Below are 20,578 nucleotides of genomic sequence, written 5' to 3' on the forward strand. Positions count from 1 at the left end.
TGAGTTCAGATCTGTTTCACCTTCGTAATTTTCTCACTGTTAAAATTTTTGCAAAGGCGATTGCAGCGCCCCTTGTCCACACCTGCGCGCTCCCCAAGGGGTCCCTACCCACCCCGCCCCTGGCTGGGGGCCGTAGGCTGGCCCTGCCCCGCTGCGCCGGAGGTGGACCTCTACCAGGGCAGTTTCTCTCTGAGGCTGCGCGCTAAGGCGGTGGGCGGTCCCAGGCAGGCCCAGAAGCTGGGCAGCCTCTGCCGGGTTCCGGGAAAAGGAGCTCCTGCTGCCACTGCTCTTCCGGAGCCTGCAGCATGGGGCCCCTGCCGCGCACCGTGGAGCTCTTCTATGACGTGCTGTCCCCCTACTCCTGGCTGGGCTTCGAGGTGACGCTGGGAGGGGTCGCCTCGGCAGTGTCTGGGGAGTGAGGGCGGAGGGAAGAGTGAGCGCAGGGCTCCGGGACAGAGGTCTCGTGTAACTCCTGGCGCCGCCCAAGGGGTTAAGGCAAGCAGGGAGAGCTCCGGGGCTGAAGGTCACTTTGTGCTTTTAAACGGAATAGAGTCGCTGGCTCCAACCCGAGCCTTTATATCCCGACTGCAGTTTCCCACGGTGGTGGAAAGAGGGGCGGCTCCAAACATTCAGGGAGAAATGCAGAACACGGCCACCTCTTAGCCCAACGATGGCAGTTTTGGGGAAAACTGGCCACAGGAGCGAAGATCCTGGAATAGATTTCTAGTAGTGAGGAGAGTTTTGCCAATTTCAAACCAAACAATGTAGGGTGTCCGCATAACCCCTGCTCTGCACTTAGCGCCTCCCTTCCCTTTCCCTCGGCTCTTTCACTTTTCCATCTTGCACACTGGCAATCGTTCTTGACCTCTGCCCGCAGATCCTGTGCCGGTATCAGAATATCTGGAACATCAACCTGCAGTTGCGGCCCAGCCTCATAACAGGGATCATGAAAGACAGTGGTAGGAAGGGAGGGTCGGGGCAGGGGTGATCTCAGTGGCCCAAGAGAGCCGACCCCAGCGGGTCCTTATATTGGCACTGGCAGCCAGAAAGCTGCCCTCTGCCCCGTCTCTACTAAAAATACAAAATTAGCCGGGCGTGGTAGTGCATGCCTGTATACCACAGCTACTCGGGAGGCTGAGGCGGGAGAATCGCTTGAACCCAGGAGGCGGAGGTTGCGGTGAGCTGAGATCGCACCATTGCACTCCAGCCTGGGCAACAAGAGCGAAACAACAAGAGAAAAAAAAGGAAGCTGCCCTCTGCCCAAAACCCACGTCGAGGTCCCCAAACCTGGGACCCTTAGGTCTTTTCTCACTTAGCGTGCCCAACCTTCTCCTGGCAGGAAACAAGCCTCCAGGTCTGCTTCCCCGCAAAGGACTATACATGGCAAATGACTTAAAGCTCCTGAGACACCATCTCCAGATTCCCATCCACTTCCCCAAGGATTTCTTGTCTGTGATGCTTGAAAAAGGTGAAGAGAGTGGGATGTAGACAGGGTATCCAGTGAAAAACACAGAAGTCGGAGATTGAGGGATTGATAGGATGGAGGGGCTGCGGGAGACTAAAGCAAGTGAAGCCTGCCTTGGGAAACCTCAGGATCAGCCTTGAGCGAGCTGAAGGTTGCCGGGCATGAAAGGGAAGAAGAGCAGGCAAATAGGTCATGGGAACCTTGGGTGAGAGGCTGAGGGCGGAGGAGCTCTGGGGGATGTCAGAAGCAAGGAAGAGCTAGTCCTCCACCAGGAAAGCAGCAAGAGGAGCCCTGCCTCTGGGTGCCTCTGCCCCACAGGAAGTTTGTCTGCCATGCGTTTCCTCACCGCCGTGAACTTGGAGCATCCAGAGATGCTGGAGAAAGCGTCCCGGGAGCTGTGGATGCGCGTCTGGTCAAGGGTGAGTGTGGGGCTCTGGGAATCCTCTGGGAGGACCTTGGATGACTTTCTGACCTTCCCCAGGCACGTTTTCAGGGTCATGATCCTGCCCCCGCCCGGGGGATCTACTGTCCTCCCAGTCACACCCCTCTCCCCGCACCGCCTTCCTGCTGTCTTCTCTTCTTCCCAGAATGAAGACATCACCGAGCCGCAGAGCATCCTGGCGGTGAGTGTCCTGGCTCCACCCCAACTGCACTCATAGAGAATCTGAGAACAGTTGGCGTTTGGGGGTAAAGAAGACAATAGGTCTCTTATTGCATGGAAAAGGTTATAATTACTGGGGAAGAAAGGATGTCTGTGATTCAGGGCACAAACTACTGAAAAGTTGGAACTAAGGATCCTCAAAAGGATATCTCAAGGTTGAAAGGGGAAGTGCAAAAGGGACAATATATGGGAAGAATTTATTTGCTGAAAGATGTCAGTGAGAGAAAGATGCTCAGTGTTGGAACCCCTGGATGGGGAGGGATATAGTATTCACAAGTCTCCACAAACTCCAACACAAACCTCACCAACACATCCAGAGTGGAAGGCAGGAGACTTGTTCCAAGAGGCTTTAAAAAGACGAAAAGAGATAACTAATGCCAGGGTTATATAGGAGCCTGAGTGAGAACAAATGGAAATAGCTCAAAACATTGACCAGTGAGCCATGGATGGGGGTATAAAAGTAAGTTTGTCTTCAGGATTAAATTAGGAAATTCAAAACAGTATTATTCCTCTGGTTTACAAAAAAAAATAGTTGAGACCTATTCAAATTTAATATATAAAGTGGCAAATCACACAAAAGTTAAACGTATAAGGAATGGCAAATATATCTTCTACAGTCTATACTCCTGCAAAGTACATGTGTAATTTTTAGCTTGCTTTTTTACTTCATATTTAATCATTTTCCATGCTTTTTTTTTTTTTTTTTTTTTTTTTGAGACACGGTCTGGCTCTGTCGCCCAGGCTGGAGTGCAGTGGTGTGACCTCGACCCACTGTACCCTTTGCCTCCTGGACTCAAGCAATCTTCCCACCTCAGTCTCCTGAGTAGCTGGGACTACAGGCACACACTACCATGTCTGGCTAACTTTTTTATTTTTTGTAGAGAAGGGGTTTCACTGTGTTGCCCAGGCTGGTCTCAAACTCCTGTGCTCAAGAGATCTGTCTGCCTCCACCTCCCAAAGTGCTGTGTTTACAGGAATGAGCCACTGTGCCCAGCCTCCATGGAATTCTTAACTCTGAAAGTATAGTTCTTTGTTTCTATAGAGGTTCCACTGAGTGGACTTATTTTTGTTTTGCTTAACCATTTTTCTGTGGTTAAACATTTTGTGTAGGACATAATTCTCTAATTTAACCAAGTCAAAGATAGTGTCTCATTAGGACAGGCTACATGAATTCCTGGGTCCCACTTCTGATCTAGGAAGTCAAGTTGCAGTGGTTGTCAATCTTGGCTGTGAATTAAAATCACCTGGAGCACCTTGGCGCTAACCCTTTCCCCTGGAATTGTGATGTAATTGTTCTTGTTCTTTTTTTTCTTTCTTTCTTTTTTTTTTTTTTTTTTTTTTTTTTGAGACAGTGTCTTGCTTTGTCACCCAGGCTGGGGTGCAGTGGCATGATCATGGCTCACTGCAGACTCAACCTCTTGGGCTCAAGTGATCTCGCATCTCAGCCTTACGAGTAGCTGGGACTTCAAGCATGTGCCACCATGCCTAATTTTTTAAAAATTTTTTGTAGAGATGGGGGTTTCACTTTGCTGCCCAGGCTGGTCTCGAACTCCTGGGCTGAAGCAATCTCCTGCCTCAGTCTCCCAAAGTGCTAGAATTACAGGCATGAGCCACAGTGCTTGGATCTAGTTCTAAGGGATGACCTCACGTGGAGATTTTTTAAAGCTCCTCAGGAGTTTCAGATGGGCAGCCAAAGTTAAGAACCATCTATCCCAAACTATACCAACAAACCACAAACTGAAGCCTTTATCTTTGTCTTGAAGCCAGGTAGGTGGCTGCAGCCATGTGCCTTGTTACAAAGTTCTCAGGAAGTTCCACTGGAATTACAGCCTAGCTCTTGATTCAAAAAAAGCATGAGATACTTAGGAACTGTGAGAGGTAGGAAGGAAAGAGCCCTGGACTTGAATTCTAGAGACCTGGATTCTAGTGTTGGCTCTGCTACCAACATGCTCTGTAACTCTGAGCAAGTAATGTATCACCTCTGGATTCAGGCTCTTCATTTGTGAAATAAAGAGGTCTATCTAGCTGCTCTCTAAGATGTCCGCTGGTGTTAATTTCTGTGATTGACTCTGTGCCATCTACCTTTTCTCCTTTTCCACCCATCTCAAGATTTGGGATAAAGGAAATAGTTCCTCTTGGCAAGGACAGATCTCCACTTGTGGGTGGGTAAGGGCATTGCCAGCAAAACTTGGGGGCAGAAAATAAAAAGACCAGAGTTTTCCTCTGAGATCCCCATCCAATATCATGCAGACACAGTTGTATTCCCTACTATATTCCCTTAGGCTGCAGAGAAGGCTGGTATGTCTGCAGAACAAGCCCAGGGACTTCTGGAAAAGATCGCAACGCCAAAGGTGAAGAACCAGCTCAAGGAGACCACTGAGGCAGCCTGCAGATACGGAGTGAGCAGCTCTTTATGTGTGTTCCCAGCACCCATCCTGAAGATGGAGACTTGAGAATCTCTAAGTTTGAGTCCTTATGCTCCTGTACAAAAGCCCCCTTTCCAAGTGTTCTCCTCAGTGCTCTTAAACAACCCTCATCTTCTTCCTTCTTTTCCTTGGGCTCAGGGAAAGGAAGGGAAGGAGATGCACAGTGAGAGAAAAGAGAGCATCTTAGAAACAGGAAGGCACCTGGGGCCACAGAGCCTCTTAGACCTCTTTGCTTCTGTGAACTCAGAAAAGTACTGACTCAAAGGTTTCAACCCCTGCCTAATACCTGCTCCTTTGCCTTCCTCCTTGCATTGTAACTGCTTTCTCCAGGCCTTTGGGCTGCCCATCACCGTGGCCCATGTGGATGGCCAAACCCACATGTTATTTGGCTCTGACCGGATGGAGCTGCTGGCGCACCTGCTGGGTAAGTAAGTTAAAGAATCAACCCTGAGCCAGGTGCAGTGGCTCACGCCTGTAATCCCAGCACTTTGGTAGGCTGAGGCGAGCAGAGCACGAGTTCAGGAGATTAAGACCATCCTGGCCAACATGGTGAAACCCCGTCTCTACTAAAAATATAAAAATTAGCTGGGACTACAGCTGCCTCAGTGGGAGGCTGAGGCAGGAGAATCACTTGAACCTGGGAGGCGGAGGTTGCAGTGAGCCGAGATCGCGCCACTGCACTCCAGCCTGGGTGACAAAGCAAGACTCCGTCTCAAAAAATAAAAAGATTCAACCCTGAGCTGCCTTTGACCCCAGCTCCACACCCACTATATCAGTTGACCAGAAGGAGGGGCTCAGAGCAAAAAAATATTCTTGGCACTTCCAGTAACAAAGCGTTATGCAGTCAGTGCTGTTCAAGGTTGAGTGGGCAGGGGCTGTCTTCAACCCCATAAAAGAAAAGGAAGCCTTCTATACCTTGAAGCCAAGCAAAAGTCTTTCTAGAAAACCCCTGGGACCTTGTGGGACCAACTCCTGCTGCCAGAACACCTGAGAACAGTGTGCAGAGTCTGTTGTTTTCTTCATCCAGGAGAGAAGTGGATGGGCCCTATACCTCCAGCCGTGAATGCCAGACTTTAAGATTGCCCGGAGGAAGCAAACTCTTCGTATAAAAAAAGCAGGCCATCTGCTTAACCCTTGGCTCCACCATAAGGCACTGGGACTCGGATTTCTCTATCTGATAGAGGTATTTTCTGTGGCCCTGGGAGCTGTCTGTCTTTCCCCTACCCCCAAGGATGCCAGGAAGACGTCCACCATTAGCCATGTGGCAACCTTTACTTCTATGCCTCACAAGTGCCTTTCAGAGAGCCCCAATTCTGCTTTCCCACAAAATAAACCTAATGCCATCAGGCAAAACATTTCTGTGTCTGTATCTGCCCTGGTATATTCTCATTCCTGGGGTCACATCCTGCCTACTCTAGGGGTAGGTGAAGGAGAGCTGTTTCAGTATTTCCAGCCAGACCAGCCATGCAGCCCACCTTGAGCAGCTTGTGCGGTGGAAGAAGTGAGAATAGTCCCCCGTTCTCTCACACAGAAACTCCCCTGGTCTCTCTATCAGCAACAGAAAACCAAGCCAGATGGACTTTGCAACTAATCAAGTTTGGGATTTACTGTCTTCTGACCAACCACAGTGACTGAGATGGGGCTGGGACCAGAAGCCCAGTGGGAGTGAACAGCCGAGGGAACCAGAGTCTGGCTGAGCTTGTGGCCAGATATTTAAACTGGGTCCAGCCACACCTGCAAAACCAGGGCAAGGCAGTACCGGGAAACTGGCTGGAGTTGCTGCGGTTTGGGGAAGTTGCACACCCTTTCATAGATACCTCCCTTAACCCTCAGTGCAGATTCTGAGAAAACTCCAAGGCTTCTCTGCCTAACCTAGTATAACCCCTGTTCCCTACTACATACATATAACTTTTCCATTCCCCCAGTAATTGACCCAAAGTCCCTGCCTCTAGCTGTGCCCATTGTGCAATGATCAGAATCCCTTGTTTCAATAGTATTTTGACTTCTTTAAGAATACTCTGTATTTGGAAGCTGAAACCTCACTTGGATCCATTGTTGGGAACCAAGTACGGAGCCTTACATAGCCCGGAGGAGTTTCAGGAGCAATGCCACTTTCCCTTCCATCCCTCCCTCTGGGTCTGGCTCTTCCCATAGTCCATTTTCCCCTTTTATCTCCCATTAATTTCTGTCTTCCTCTCTCACCTTTTCCATGTCTCTAGCATCCTCCAGGATTTAAAATCATCTTTACCCAACTTATCTGTGAAGTAATGGCAAAAGAACATCTCCAAATTAAGTACTCCTTTTCTTCAAAGGAGTTTCATGGGATGTACAGCTAGTATAAAATAAAAATATGGGAAGATGTCCAATCTTAAAAACCATAAGGGCAAATTAAGACAAAACTAAGCTGCCCAGAGCAGGGTGAGTGGAACCAGTTTTATGAATAAAGATGCTTGTCTCAGCACTATATGTGGATATCAAAAATTGTGAACAACTTGAACACCTATCAGGAGGAGAATACTTTAATCAATTATGGCACATTCAGGAGATAATGTTTTACAGTCATCAAAAATTGTATATGAGGGCCAGCACGGTGGCTCACACCTGTAATCCCAGCACTTTGGGAGGCCAAGGCAGGCGGATCACCTGAGGTCAGGAGTTCGAGACCAGACTGGCTAACATGGTAAAACCCTGTTTCTACTAAAAATACAAAAAAGTAACCGGGTGTGGTGGCACGTGCCTGTAATCCCAGCTACTCGGGAGGCTGAGGCAGGAGAATCGCTTGAACCCGGGAGGCAGAGGTTGTGGTGAGCTGAGATTGCACTATTGCACTCCAGCTTGGGCAACAAGAGCGAAACTCTGTCTCAAAAAAAAATTGTATTTCTGAAGAATTGTTAAGAACATTGGAAATTCTTGAGATATAATATTGATTGGAAAAAGATGAAACTATATGGTATGATCTCAATATGTCCTGATGAATAAAAACATAATACAGAGGACATTATTCTGAGATAAAATACATCAAAATCTTTCCATTTTATTTGTATACTTTTACAATTTTTGATTTTTTAAAATGTATTCTGATACACAAAATAATAAAAATGAAAAATAAAAAATTTGGCCGGGCGCAGTGGCTCATGCCTGTAATCCCAGCACTTTGGGAGACTGAGGCAGGTGGATCACTTGAGGTCAGCAGTTTGAGACCAGCCTGACCATCATGGTGAAACCCCATCTCTACTAAAAATACAAAAATTAAGCTGTGTGTGATGGTGCACACCTGCAATCCCAGGTACTCAGGAGGCTTATGCGGGAGAATCGCTTGAACCTGGGAGGCGGAGGTTGCAGTGAGCCGAGATCGGGTCACTGCACTCCAGCCTGGGCGACAGAGTGAGATTCCATCTCAAAAAAAAAAAATTGTAGATTCACATTGCAGTACAACTGTGCATCTTGCCCATTGATTTCTAAATGTATTAACTACTTAAATTAATCCTGAATCTTTTCCCAGGCTTAAGTGGGATAATGTTTTATTGTAGATGCATATTTCCTGGCTCTACCCAGTCTTTCTTTGAAGACTTTATCATCCTATTTTCTGAATCCAGTGGCTGACTTTAATCTTCTCTGGAGGAACTAGATAATTTCTAGACTAATGCTTACACTCATGATCCAGATTGTAATTTCTGAACTCCTTCTTCCAAATAGAATCAAAACAAGAAAGGGGAAAGCCTCTCAAAGCAACTGTGCGTTAATAATGAAACACTCTTTTTTTCTAATCCAAGGAGGGTTTCATACTTTTTCTTAGTTTCTTGCCCTCTTCCCTTCTGATCAATAATTGTAATAGGAAATTTGCAATTGTGCCAATACTCAGATTCAATACTGAACTACTTTCTTGCATTGTAATTCAAATTCCAAGGTTAACAACTAGCTGTATGTTTCCAAAACAATCTTATTGTATATGTATTTTCTTAGGTGAAGTTTCCAGAAATGATTTTTTTTTTTTGCAGAGCCAAACACACATGGTAATTTAAAAAAATAATGCACGTATGTGGTAAAAACAGTAAAAGCAAGGTATCAAGTAAAAAGTGAAGAGTCCTCCCTTTCTCATTCCCATTCCTACTCTCTAATTTTTTATATATCCATTTTGTAAGCTATAATACAGAGATTCCATATACTCTTCACATACTTTCCCCAGTGGTAACCTCTTGCATAACTATAGGACAATAACACACTATAGGACAAAAATCAAGAAATTGACATTGATACAATCCATCAACCTTATTCAGAGTTCACCAGTTTAACACATGCTTATTGTGTGTCTGTATTTAGTTCTATATAATTTTATCACATGTATGCTGATGACCACCACCACAGCCAAGATACAAAACATTTTCAGTGTAAAGATTTCTCATGCTACCCTTTTATAGCCACAGCTACCTCCCTCCCTCCCTGTACTTCCCTAACCCTTGGCAGTCACTAATCTGATCTTTATGTCTTGTCATTTCAAAAATGCTACATAAATGGAATCAGATTTGATTGTTTTCATTCAGCACAATCCCTTTGAGATCTATCCAAGGTTTTGACATGTATCGAGAGTTTATTCCTTTTTATTGCTGAATAGTATTAATATTCTATAGTATGGATGTAACATAGTGTGTTTAAACATTCGCCTGTTGAAGGACACTTGGGTTGTTTCCAGTTTCAGGTTCTTACAAATAAAGCTACTCTGTGTGTTCATGTACAGGTTTTTATTTTCATTTCTCTGGGTAAATGCTTAGGAACACAACCACTGGGTCCCATGGTAAGTCCATGCTTAGTTTTAGAAGAAACTGTCAAGGCTGGGTGCATGATGGCTCCCATCTGTAATCCCAGCACTTTGGGAGAACAAGGCAGAAGGATGACTTGAGCCCAGGAATTCAAGACCAGCCAGGGCAACATGGCGAAACCCCATCTCCAAAAAAAGAAAAAAGAAAAAGCCAGACATGGTGATGTGTGCCTGCAGTCCCAGCTAATTGGGAGGCTACAGTGGGAGGATCCCTTGAGCCTGTGAGGCGGAGGTTGAAGTCAGCTATGATCACGCCACTGCACTCCAGCTTGGGCAACAGAGCCAGACCCTGTCTCAAAAAAACAAAAACAAACAAAAAAAAGGAAAGAAGAAGGAAGGAAGGGAAAGGAAAGAGAGAGGGAGGGAAGGAAGGAAGGGAGGGAGGGAGGGAGGAAGGGAAAAGAAAAGAAAAAAAGAGAAGAAAAGAAACTGCCATACTGTTTTCCAGAGTAGCTGGTTTCACTTTTCCACCAGCAACGCATGAGTGATCCAGTTTGTCCACAGCCTCACCAGCATTTAGTGTTACTACTGTTTCTTACTTTAATCATTCTGATAGGTGGGTAGTGATAGCTCACTGTGATTTTTAATTTGCATCTCCCCAATGACTAATGAACATCTTTTCATGTGCTACTTGCCATCTGTACATGGTCGTCAGTAAAATGTCTGTTCATGTCTTTTGCCTACTTTCTAACTAGACTCCTTTGAAAATTTCTCATATTGTTTTTAACAATAGATTTTAAAAGAATTTACAGAGTAAGAATACATTTTTGAGACAATGGGGAAAATGATACGGAGTGAAAGGTGATATTAAAGAATTAATGTTAATTTCATTATGTGATAATAGCTGAGTGGCTGTGCACAAAAAAAAAAAAAACTTTTCATTGGTTGTAATTCATTTTGAAATATTTAGGATAGGGCCAGGCACGCTAGCTCACACCTGTAATCCCAGCACTCTGGGAGGCCGACGTAGACAGATCACGAGGTCAAGAGATTGAGACCATCCTGGCCAACATGGTGAAACCTCATTTCTACTAAAAATACAAAAGTTAGCTGGGCATGGTGGCACGCACCTGTAGTCCCAGCTACTTGGGAGGCTGAGGCAGGAGAATCGCTTGAACCCGGGAGGCGGAGGTTGCAGTGAGCCAAGATCGCAGCATTGCATGCACTCCAGCCTGGCAACAGAGCAAGACTCCGTCTCAAAAAAAAAAAAAAAAAAAAAAATTAGGATAGAAATCACATGATGCTTTTTAAAATGTGGCAGGTCAGAAGGAATAGATGAAACAAGAGTGACAAGATGTTAATTATCGTTAAAGCCGAGTGATGGATACATGGGGAGTTATTTATACTATATTATGTGTATTGAGATATTTCCATAATAAAAATGTTTTTAACAAAGAATGTAAACCCACGGATTGGGAGAAAATATTTTTAAACCATACATCTGATAAGAGGTTAATATCCAAAATATAAAAGAAACTCAATAGCAAGAAAACAAATCACCCAACTGAAAAATGATTACAGGACGTGAACAGACATTTCTCAAATGAAGACATACAAGTGGCCAACAGGTTTATGAGAAATGTTCAACAACTAATCATCAGGGAAATGCAAATCAAAATTACAATGAGATAGCACCTCACATCTTGTTATAATGACTATTATTAAAAAGCTGAACGATAACTGTTAGTGACGACGTGGAGAAAAGGGTTGGCAGGAATAGGAATTAGTACAGCCATTGTGGGCAATAGTATGGAGGTTCCTCTAAAAGCTAAAAAGGGATCTACCATATGATCCAGCAATCCCACTTCTGAGTATATATCCAAAAGAAATGAAATCAGCGTATCAAAGAGATATCTTGCTCTTATTCACGATAGCCAAAATATGAAGTCAACCTAAGTGTCCATCAACAAATGAATGGTTAGGCTGGGCATGGTGGCTCAGGCCTGTAACCCCAACACTTTGGGAAGCCTAGGTGGGTGGATTGCTTGAGCCCAGGAGTTCGAGACCAACCTGGGCAACATGTCAAAACCCCATCTCTATTTTATTTTAATTAAATTTTAAATAAATAACCCAAAATGAATGGTTAAAAAATGTGATATGTATAATACACAGTCATGCATTGCTTAATGATGGGGATATGTTCTGAGAGATGCATTATTAGTTAATTTTGTAATTGTGTGAACATCATGGAGTATACAGAACATACACAAACCTAGAAGGTATAGCCTACCACACAAATAGGCTATGTGGTATTGCCTATTGCTCCTGGGCTATAAACCTGTACAGCCTGTTACTGCACTGAGTACTGCAGGCAATTGTAACACAAATCACTAGGCAATGCGAATTTTTCAGCTCCATTATAATCTTAAGGGACCACCATCCTATATGTAGTCTGGTGGAAATATTGTTATGTGGCGCATGACTGTATACACAGAAACACACACACACACACACACACACACACACACACACAATGGAATATTATTTAGTCTTTAAAAAGGAAGAAATTCTGTCATTTGCTACTACATAGAGGAATCTGAAATAAAATAAGCCAGGCATGGAAAGACAAATACCGCATGATCTCACTTACATGTGAAATCTAAAAAAGTTGAACTTAACAGAAGTAGAGAGTAGAACAGTGATTACCAGAGGCTGGGGGTGCGGGGTGGGCAATGGGGAGATGTTGACCAAAGAGTACAAAGTTTCTATTAGGAGGAATCAATTCTTAATATATATTGTACAGTATGGTGACCATGATTAATAATCATGTATCGTATATTTCAAAATTGCTACAAGAATAGATGTTAAATGTTCTCACTATATAAAAATGACCAGTAAATGAGGAGATATGTTAATTAGCTTGATGTAATATTCCACAATGTGTGTATATATATATATAAAACATCACACCATATCCTATACACATATACAATTATTGTCAATTTAAAATAAAATTTTAAATTTAAAAAAGTATTACATCAATGCTGTAAAACAAGAGAGACAGAGAATGTATTGAGATAATAATTCTGTGATATTCCATGTTTCATCCTATCCCCACAGTTCTAAGGACACAAAGCTGGTTTCATGGTCTTGAAACCTATGCATTCACACAGGGCCTCAAAATGGTTTAATGTTCTGCTGTCATTGTCTTGAAATTCTTAATAATTTCTGAATACACAGCCCTGCATATTGGTTTTTCATAAATTATGTGGCTATAGCTGACCCTGTAAGCATACAATATATGCTGATTAAATGCCTCTAAAATAAAGGAGCAACTCAGAGATATTGTGGGTTTGGTTCCAGACCATTACAATAAGGTGAATATCGCTATAAAGTGAGTCACACAACTTTTTGGTGCATATAAAAGTTATATTTACACAATACTAATGTTTATTAAGTGTGCAACAGTATGTCTAAAAAAAGTACATTTCTTAGTTTAAAAATATTTAGTTGCTAAAAAATGCTGATGATCATCTGAGCCTTCAGTGAATCATAATCTCTTTGCTAGTGGAGGGTCTTGCCTCAGTGTGGATGGCTGCTGACTGATCAGTGTGGTGGATGCTGAAGGATGAAATAGCTGTGGCAATTTGTTCACAGGGTCTCACTCTGTCACCCAGGTGGGAGTGCAGTGGCCTGAACACAGCTCACTGTGGCCTCGACCTCTTGGGCTCAAGCAATTTTCCCACTTCAGCCTCCCAAGTAGCTGGGACTACAGGTGCTTACCACCATGCCCAGCTGATTTTTGTATTTCTTGTAGAGACAGAGCTTTACGATGTTGCCCATGCTGGTCTCCAACTCTTGGGCTCAAGTGATCCTCCCACCTTGGCCTCCGAAAGTGCTGGGACTACAGGCATGAGCCACCATGCCTGGCACAAATGTCTTAATGGCATCTAGAAAAGTGAATCCTTTTGGGAAGGTTTTCAATTTACTGTGCCCAGATCCATCAGAGGAATCACCATCTATGGCAGCTATAGCTTTACAATATACTTTAGGCCAGGTGCAGTGGCTCACGCATGTAATCCCAGCAGTTTGGGAGGTTGAGGCAGGTAGATCACTTGAGGTCAGGAGTTTGAGACCAGCCTGGCCATCATGATGAAACCCCGTCTCTACTAAAACTACAAAAATTAGCCAGGTGTTGTGGCACGTGCCTGTAATCCCAGCTACTTAGGAGGCTGAGGCAGAAGAATCACTTGAACCCAGGAGGCAGAGGTTGCATGAGCCGAGATCGCACCACTGCACTCCAGCCTGGGCGATAGAGTGAGACTCTGTCTCAAAATATATATATATATATATTTATATTATATATATATATATATATATATATATAGATCATACATATTATAGATACATAAATATATATATACTTTAAAAAATATAGGCCAGTTGCAGCGGCTCACACCTGTAATCCTAGCACTTTGGGAGGTTAAGGCAGGCAGATAGATGAAGTCAGGAGTTTGAGACCAGCCTGGCCAACGCGGCAAAAGCTCATCTCTACTAAAAATACAAAAATTAGAAAATTAGCTGGGTGTGGTGGCAAGCACCTGTAATCCCAGCTACTTGGGAGGCCGAGGCATGAGAATCGCTTGAACCCAGGAGGTGGAGGTTGCAGTGGGCCAAGGTTGCACCACTGCACTCCAGCCTGGGAGACACAGTGAGACTCCATCTCAAAAAATATATATAATAGATGGGAAAAAAATATTCTTGCCTATAGGATTGACTGGGAAGATATATGAGGGAACTTTCTGGGTGATAGTAATGTTTTGTATCCTGATAGGAGTTTGAATTACACAAATGTATGTATATACCAAAACTCACGGAATGACCTACCTAAAAATCTGTGTTTTTCACTGTAGGCAAATTTTACTTCAAGGGAAAAAAATTAACTATAAGCAAATATTGAACTCATTACTTCTAAAATAAGTTGCAAAATAAAATCAGAAGAGTATTGACGTCTGCAACTTACTTTAAAATGAATCAAAAAATAAGATGCATTGATGGATGGATAAAGGGATGAGTAGATAGAAAACTAGTATAATGTTAATGCTAAAATCTAGGTGGTGAGTACACAGGTGTTCACTGTAAAATTCTTATATATATGTGTATATATGTGCGTATAGTTATATGTATATACATATATACACATATATATACACACATATATACATATATATATATATATTTTTTTTTTTTTTTGAGACAGGGTCTTACTCTGTCACTCAGGCTGGTGTGCAGTGGCCCAGTCTTGGCTCACTGCAACCTCTGCTACCTGAGCTCAAGCGATTCTCCAGCCTTGGCCTCCCATGTAGCTGGGACTATAGGCGTGAGCCACCAACACCTGGCTAATTTTTGTATTTTTTCTAGAGACGGGGTTCCACCATGTTGCCCAGGCTGGTCTCGAACTCCTGAGCTCAAAGCGATCTGCCCACCTTAGTCTCCCAAAGTGCTGGGATTACAGGCATGAGCCACCATGCCTGGCCCCTTTTCTGTATGCTTTTAGTAATTCATAACAAAACGGTCTACACATATTGATCTACATATGTTGATAAGGCACAATCTCCAACATATATTGTTAGGTGGAAAAAGCAAAATATAAAGCATTATCTATGGTATGCTCCCAAATGTATAAAGAAAGAGAGCCTGTATATATTATGTTTGCATATTTATGGTCTCTCTCTGGGGAGGGGGTACCCAGAAATAGTTGGGAAAGAGATTGCCTCATGGGAACGGGACTGAGAGACTGAGGTTTGGGGATATAAAAAAGACTTACTCTTTATTATAATTTTTTCCCTGTTGAATTTTATACTAAAAGTGTAGATCATTTTTTAATTAACTAAAATAACTATATTTTAGTAATCCATATATTTAATTTTTATGTTTGTTTGTTTGTTTTTTGACGAAGTCTCGCTCTGTTGCCCAGGCTGGAGTACAGTGGCACGATCTCAGCTCAATGCAACCTCTGCCTCCCGGGTTCAAGTGATTCTCCTGCCTCAGCCTCCCAAGTAGCTGGGACTACAGGTGCGTGCCACCATGCCCAGCTAATTTTTGTATTTTTAGTAGAGACAGGGTTTCACTATGTTGGCCAGGCTGGTCTCGAACTCCTGACCTCATGATCCACCTGCCTTGGCCTCCCAAAATGCTGGGATTACAGGCGTGAGCCACCATGCCCGGCACATACATTAATACTTTTTCAGATACTGTCTTCTTCTTCTTTTTTTTAAAGACAGGATCTTGCCTTGTCACCCAGGCTGGGGTGTAGTGGCACAGTCGTAGTTTTCTGCAACCTCGAACTCTTGGGCTCAGACAATCCTCCCCCATCAGCCTCCCAAAGAGCTAGGATTACAGGCAGGCAACACTGCACCTGGCTAATTTTTTAATGTTTTTTTGTGTGTAGAGACAGGGTCTCACTATGTTGCCCAGGCTGTCAGATACTGTCTTTAATTGTTATTTAATTATTTCATATGCATCTCTTATCTCTCTACCCATATCAGAAAATCCTGGAGACCACAGTCAAATATGTTACCTCTCCTGGATAGATGCCCTTAGAAGTTAGCACAGGGCTATGTACAATGTAGTTACAAACAAATGCTCCATGGTGAAATCAGGTCCCAGTGACAGGATGGTACCCCTCGCTGGTCCCACACACAGTTGTGCACATTACAGTCAGACCCAGACTCACTTTGGCTGTAGTTCCCCAAGCTGGAGGAGCAGTGTGGGAAAGGGGTGATATACGTGGGTTTATTTTCACCAATTTACAGATTAGTAACCGAAGCTCAGAAAGGTTAAGTAACTTGCCCAAGGTCACACTGCTAGTAAGTGGTAGAAATGAGATTTGAAAACCAGGGTTGGCCAAAACACATGTGCTTAAACTGCACGGCCTCCTGTTTGCTAGTATTTACAGGCATATCCATGTGGGACTCTGCTGTCACTATCTGTAGACATTTCTAACAAACACAATGCTCTTTTTGTTGTTGTTGCTTAGCAACAACTACACTCAATTTCTCAAATTCCAGAAGGTTTTTGTGGCTTAATGCCGAGTATCTGAGCTAGACTGACTGCCTCAACCCCATTGTTCACTCAGTTCTTGTTTAGCGAGCTTTGTACAATATTAAAACTAGTTGATGGGGTAAGTGCATGTATTTATCCTTACATACTGGAGGATTTATTATTTTTTGAAAGCATTTCCATCTAGAAAATATCAATGTTGCTCACCTATGTCATGATAAACCATTTATCCACCTTCCTTACACATTTTGGAGAAGCTGTGACTAAGGCAATTTCTGAAGGGGAAAACACACCCAGCTGAATTAAAAGGTCAAGGTTCTGAGTTTCCTTCTAACTAAAGAAATCGTGTACTTTCTCTGAGCTTGTTTCCTCTGTAAAATGAAAGTGATAATCAGGCAGCCCAAATGATTGTTAATAAGGATCAAATGAGATCGTGTATGTGGGTCCAATCAATTGATTCTACACAAAGGTATGTATCTATTGTCACTGATATCTTTTTAGAAGTCACCAGCAGTGTGTTGTATGCTTATTCAGTTTAAACTGATCTATTTTTTAGTTGTCTTAATCAGATGATAAAAGGTAAGCCTTCCAATACAGAGCTTGCAATCTTCATTTCCTTATCCTGCCTTATATGTCAATAACCTTAATTTACCTTCTGATCATCTCCTTGGCTGCCCGTGCTGTCTGAAAATCAGCCTTTTCTTAAAATGGCAAATAGTGGGGAAAAGTAGCATCTAACCACTCCTCCAGAGAAGGGCAGAATAATGATTCAGAATGCCTCTAGTGTTTTGTTAAATTATCATTTGAGAGCAGCCCAAGAGAGCATTTAGAGTGGGATGGTGTAGTGCTTAAGAGCCAGGATTCTGGGTTCAGACCATGGGTTCAAATCCTGACCCCACCCTTAATTAGCTACCCACATACCTCAAGTTTCTTACCTCATCTATAAAATGGACATAATCACAGTAACTACCTCTTAGTATAGCATACGTATTTTAAATCACTTAATTTGTGTAAAGTATTTAACACAGTGAGGAGTATGCACAAAACATTCTACACATGTTGATACTATAAAGCACTCCCAGATTCAGAAACACAAAAATCACAGAAATACAAAGCCACAGAGACAAGCACACAGTGGGAGGCAATAAGCTTGACTTCTCCCTTGTTCTCCTTGCCCTTCCACTTCCCTTCACCGTCAACCACCCAAATGAGCTGGGAAGAGTGGGCAAGGAGAAGTCATTCCATCTCCAGTAGGGTTTGTCAAAGGCAGGCAAGTAGAAAGTGGATGACAATTGAATTAAGTGATGCATTCCTGTTTTGCTAAGGATATTAAGTTGACGAAGAAATAAAGGAAAGCAAAACCTTTGGGAAGCAATTTGGCCATATGCATTCGGGACAATAAAAACTTTCCTATTGCTTGTCTCTTGATAATGACATTTCTTAAAATTCATCCTGAGGAAATAATCCAAAACAAAAGGAAAACTATACATAAGATGTTTATTGCATTAGTTTTTAAACAGTTTTCTTAAGGTGTGAAAGGAAAATAAATCTTGGGATCCCAAACTTACTAAGCCAGAGGGAAAAGTCAAGCTGGGAACTGGGTCATGCAAACCTGCCTCCCATTTTGGTTTCTTTGGTTTTTTGTTGTGTTTTGTTTTTGTTTTTGTTTTTGTGTTTTGAGACCAAGTCTCACTCTGTCACCCAGGCTGGAGTGCAGTGGCACAATCTCGGCTCACTGCAACCTCTGTCTCCCGGGTTCAAGCAATTCTCCTGCCTCAGCCTCCCGAGTAGCTGGGATTACAGGCACGCGCCACTACACCGGCTAATTTTTATAATTTTAGTAGAGATGGGGTTTCATCACATTAGCCAGGCTGGTCTCAAACTCCTGACCTCGTGATCCTGATCTGCCCACCTCGGCCTCCCAAAGTGCTGGGATTACAGGCATGAGCCACTGCACCCAGCCCCATTTTGGTTTCCGAATAAGATGGCTACAAAGATGAAAAGCTACACACCTCCCTCACACTTTGCCTACAAGGAAATTCTTTATGGTAACCAAGATCTTTACCCTAAAGCATTTCAGCTAAGGTTCACCATGGCAATGTAAATTGATAGCTTATCTTCACAGGTGGGGGAACACAGGACAGAAATGAAAGTCATCCCTCTGCCCACTGAGACAAATGCATATCTGATTGTTTCCTCTGCCCTATTATCTACATTATCTTATGTAAAAATGCAGATTCACTGAGCCAGACAAAGGCATTAAATATTGAAGCCACCAAAATCATCTTTAAAAAAAGGCATAGACTTGTCTCCCGGGTGCCCTTCCTTAACTTTGGCAAATCTCCTAAAATAATTGAGACTTGCCTCAGTCATTTTCCTTGATTGACAAAGGTATAATTCATCCTTTTAAAGTGTACAATGCAGTGGGGTTTTTTAAAGAATTATTCAGAGTTGTGCAAGCATCACCATTATATAATTTTAGAAATTTTCACCACCCCAATATGAAACTCATTTGCAGTTACTCTCCATTTCTTCCTCTGCCTCCCCACCCCTAGCAAATTCTAATCTACTTTCTGTCTCTTGTATTATTATTATTATTATTATTATTATTATTATATTAATTTTTGAGACAGGGTCTGGAATGCAGACAGGCTGGAATGCAATGGCATGATCACGGCTCACTGAAGCCTCGACCTCCATGACTCAAGCAATCCACCCACCTCAGCCTCCTGTGTACCTGGAACTATAGGCGTGTGCCGCCACCTCCAGCTAATTTTTGTATTTTTTTGTGGCATGATCACAGCTCACTGCAGCCTCAACCTCCAGGGCTCAAGCGGTCCTCCCACTTCAGCCTCCTGAGTAGCTGGAACTATAGGCGTGCGCCACCATACCCAGCTAATTTTTGTATTTTTTTTTTTTTGGAGAGACATGGTTTCGTCATGTTGCCCAGGCTGGTCTCAAACTCCTGTGCTCAAGCAATCCGCCCACCTCAGCCTCCCAAAGTGTTGGGATTACAGGCATGAGCCACTGCGCCCAGCCTGCATTATTATTATTATTATTTTTTAATTATTTTATTTTTTGAGACAGAGTTTCACTCTTGTTGCCCAGGCTGGAGTGCAATGGCGCAACCTCGGTTCACCACAACCTTCGCCTCCCGGGTCCCAGTTCAAGCAATTCTCCTGCCTCAGCCGCCCGAGTAGCTGGGATTACAGGCACACACCTCCATGCCCAGCTCCTTTTTGTATTTTTAGTAGAGATGGGGTTTCATCATGTTGGCCAGGCTGGTCTCGAACTCCTGACCTCGCGATAGTCCGCCTCGGCCTCCCAAAGTACTGGGATTACAGGCGTGAGCCACCGCGCCCGGCAACCTGCATTATTTTAATGGCCAAAAATATTGAGTGAAATAGGCTCAGTGTTATTGAGCAACGTATCATGAGGGTATATTAATCAAATTATGGCATATCGATTCAATGAAATATTACATGGCTGTTTGAAATTACTACAATAAGGTCTTTATCAGGGTGAAATATATACAATATAAAGTATAAAACTTTTTAAAGATACAAAGTGGTTAGTATATTCTGGTTTGCATGTGGACAGTCTGGAAGAAATATATAAACGTTTTAAATGGCCGTGTTAGGATAATGAGAAGATAGACAATTTTTTTTTCTTTAGCTTTTAAATATTGTCATGTTTTTTCTTTTAACAAATGCAATTTTTAAAAATTGATTTTACATTACTGGAATTGAGAATGTATGAACGGGCACAGCCAGCCACCAGTCTAGCCTCTCCAGTTGGGATCCAGTTCTTGTCTATCGTACTCTCCTTCCGGCAACCAAGAGACTTAAGCTACAAAGGTCCGCCTCTCCCAGACTCTCCCCTTACACCTCAGGCCCATACCTTTTGGCCCCGTGCCTCTTAGCCTACACCTTCCCATTCCCACAACTCACTCCTTAACAAACCCCCTTTCCTATCACACACACCAATGACCCTTGGCCAATTTCCTTCTATTCATATGTTAACTGTAGACTGCAGTCCTGATTCCAGCTGTACTTTCCCCTTATGAGCAGAACAGTGAGGAAATTGGCTGAAACAGAACAACAATCAGCCCCCCTCACTCCTGTGCCTACTTTGCATAGAGACACACCTCATTTAGACTCCCACAGCCTTCCTGTTAATGTCTCCTTCCTCTCTCTGCTATCGATCTG

The 20,578-nt window shown here is 43.2% G+C and overlaps 1 protein-coding gene and 1 long non-coding RNA gene across 5 annotated transcripts in view, besides 4 other annotated features; one reads left to right on the forward strand and one right to left on the reverse strand.

The window, feature by feature from the left end:
• TMEM139-AS1 (TMEM139 antisense RNA 1) overlaps positions 1-20,578 on the reverse strand; it is a 31,036-nt gene that overhangs the window by 7,910 nt on the left and 2,548 nt on the right. The window lies entirely within an intron of this gene.
• Positions 51-120: a silencer, noted in NCBI's record as "silent region_18719". NCBI's record gives its function as "represses an Ori minimal core promoter by ATAC-STARR-seq in GM12878 lymphoblastoid cells {active_cell/tissue: GM12878}" and the evidence as "EXISTENCE:reporter gene assay evidence [ECO:0000049][PMID:35858748]".
• Positions 148-442: an enhancer, noted in NCBI's record as "tiled region #7901; HepG2 Activating DNase unmatched - State 1:Tss, and K562 Activating DNase unmatched - State 1:Tss". NCBI's record gives its function as "activates a minimal TATA promoter and a strong SV40 promoter by Sharpr-MPRA in HepG2 and K562 cells {active_cell/tissue: HepG2 | K562}" and the evidence as "EXISTENCE:reporter gene assay evidence [ECO:0000049][PMID:27701403]".
• Positions 148-480: a biological region, named in NCBI's record as "Sharpr-MPRA regulatory region 7901".
• On the forward strand, positions 233-5,907 carry GSTK1 (glutathione S-transferase kappa 1). Of its 4 annotated transcripts, NM_015917.3 has the most exons (8): positions 233-377; positions 878-959; positions 1,340-1,468; positions 1,784-1,884; positions 2,053-2,088; positions 4,409-4,525; positions 4,883-4,976; positions 5,580-5,907. In NM_015917.3, the coding sequence occupies exons 1-8, from the start codon at positions 306-308 to the stop codon at positions 5,627-5,629; spliced, it is 681 nt and encodes a 226-aa protein (NP_057001.1). In that variant the 5' UTR covers positions 233-305; the 3' UTR covers positions 5,630-5,907. The 4 variants fall into 4 exon arrangements, with proteins under 4 accessions (NP_057001.1, NP_001137151.1, NP_001137152.1 ...); NM_001143679.2 differs by having other exon boundaries at positions 1,784-2,088; NM_001143680.2 differs by lacking the exon at positions 2,053-2,088.
• Positions 261-480: an enhancer, noted in NCBI's record as "active region_26791". NCBI's record gives its function as "activates an Ori minimal core promoter by ATAC-STARR-seq in GM12878 lymphoblastoid cells {active_cell/tissue: GM12878}" and the evidence as "EXISTENCE:reporter gene assay evidence [ECO:0000049][PMID:35858748]".

The sequence above is a fragment of the Homo sapiens genome, chromosome 7 (assembly GCF_000001405.40).
Source record: "Homo sapiens chromosome 7, GRCh38.p14 Primary Assembly".
NCBI lineage: Eukaryota > Metazoa > Chordata > Mammalia > Primates > Hominidae > Homo > Homo sapiens.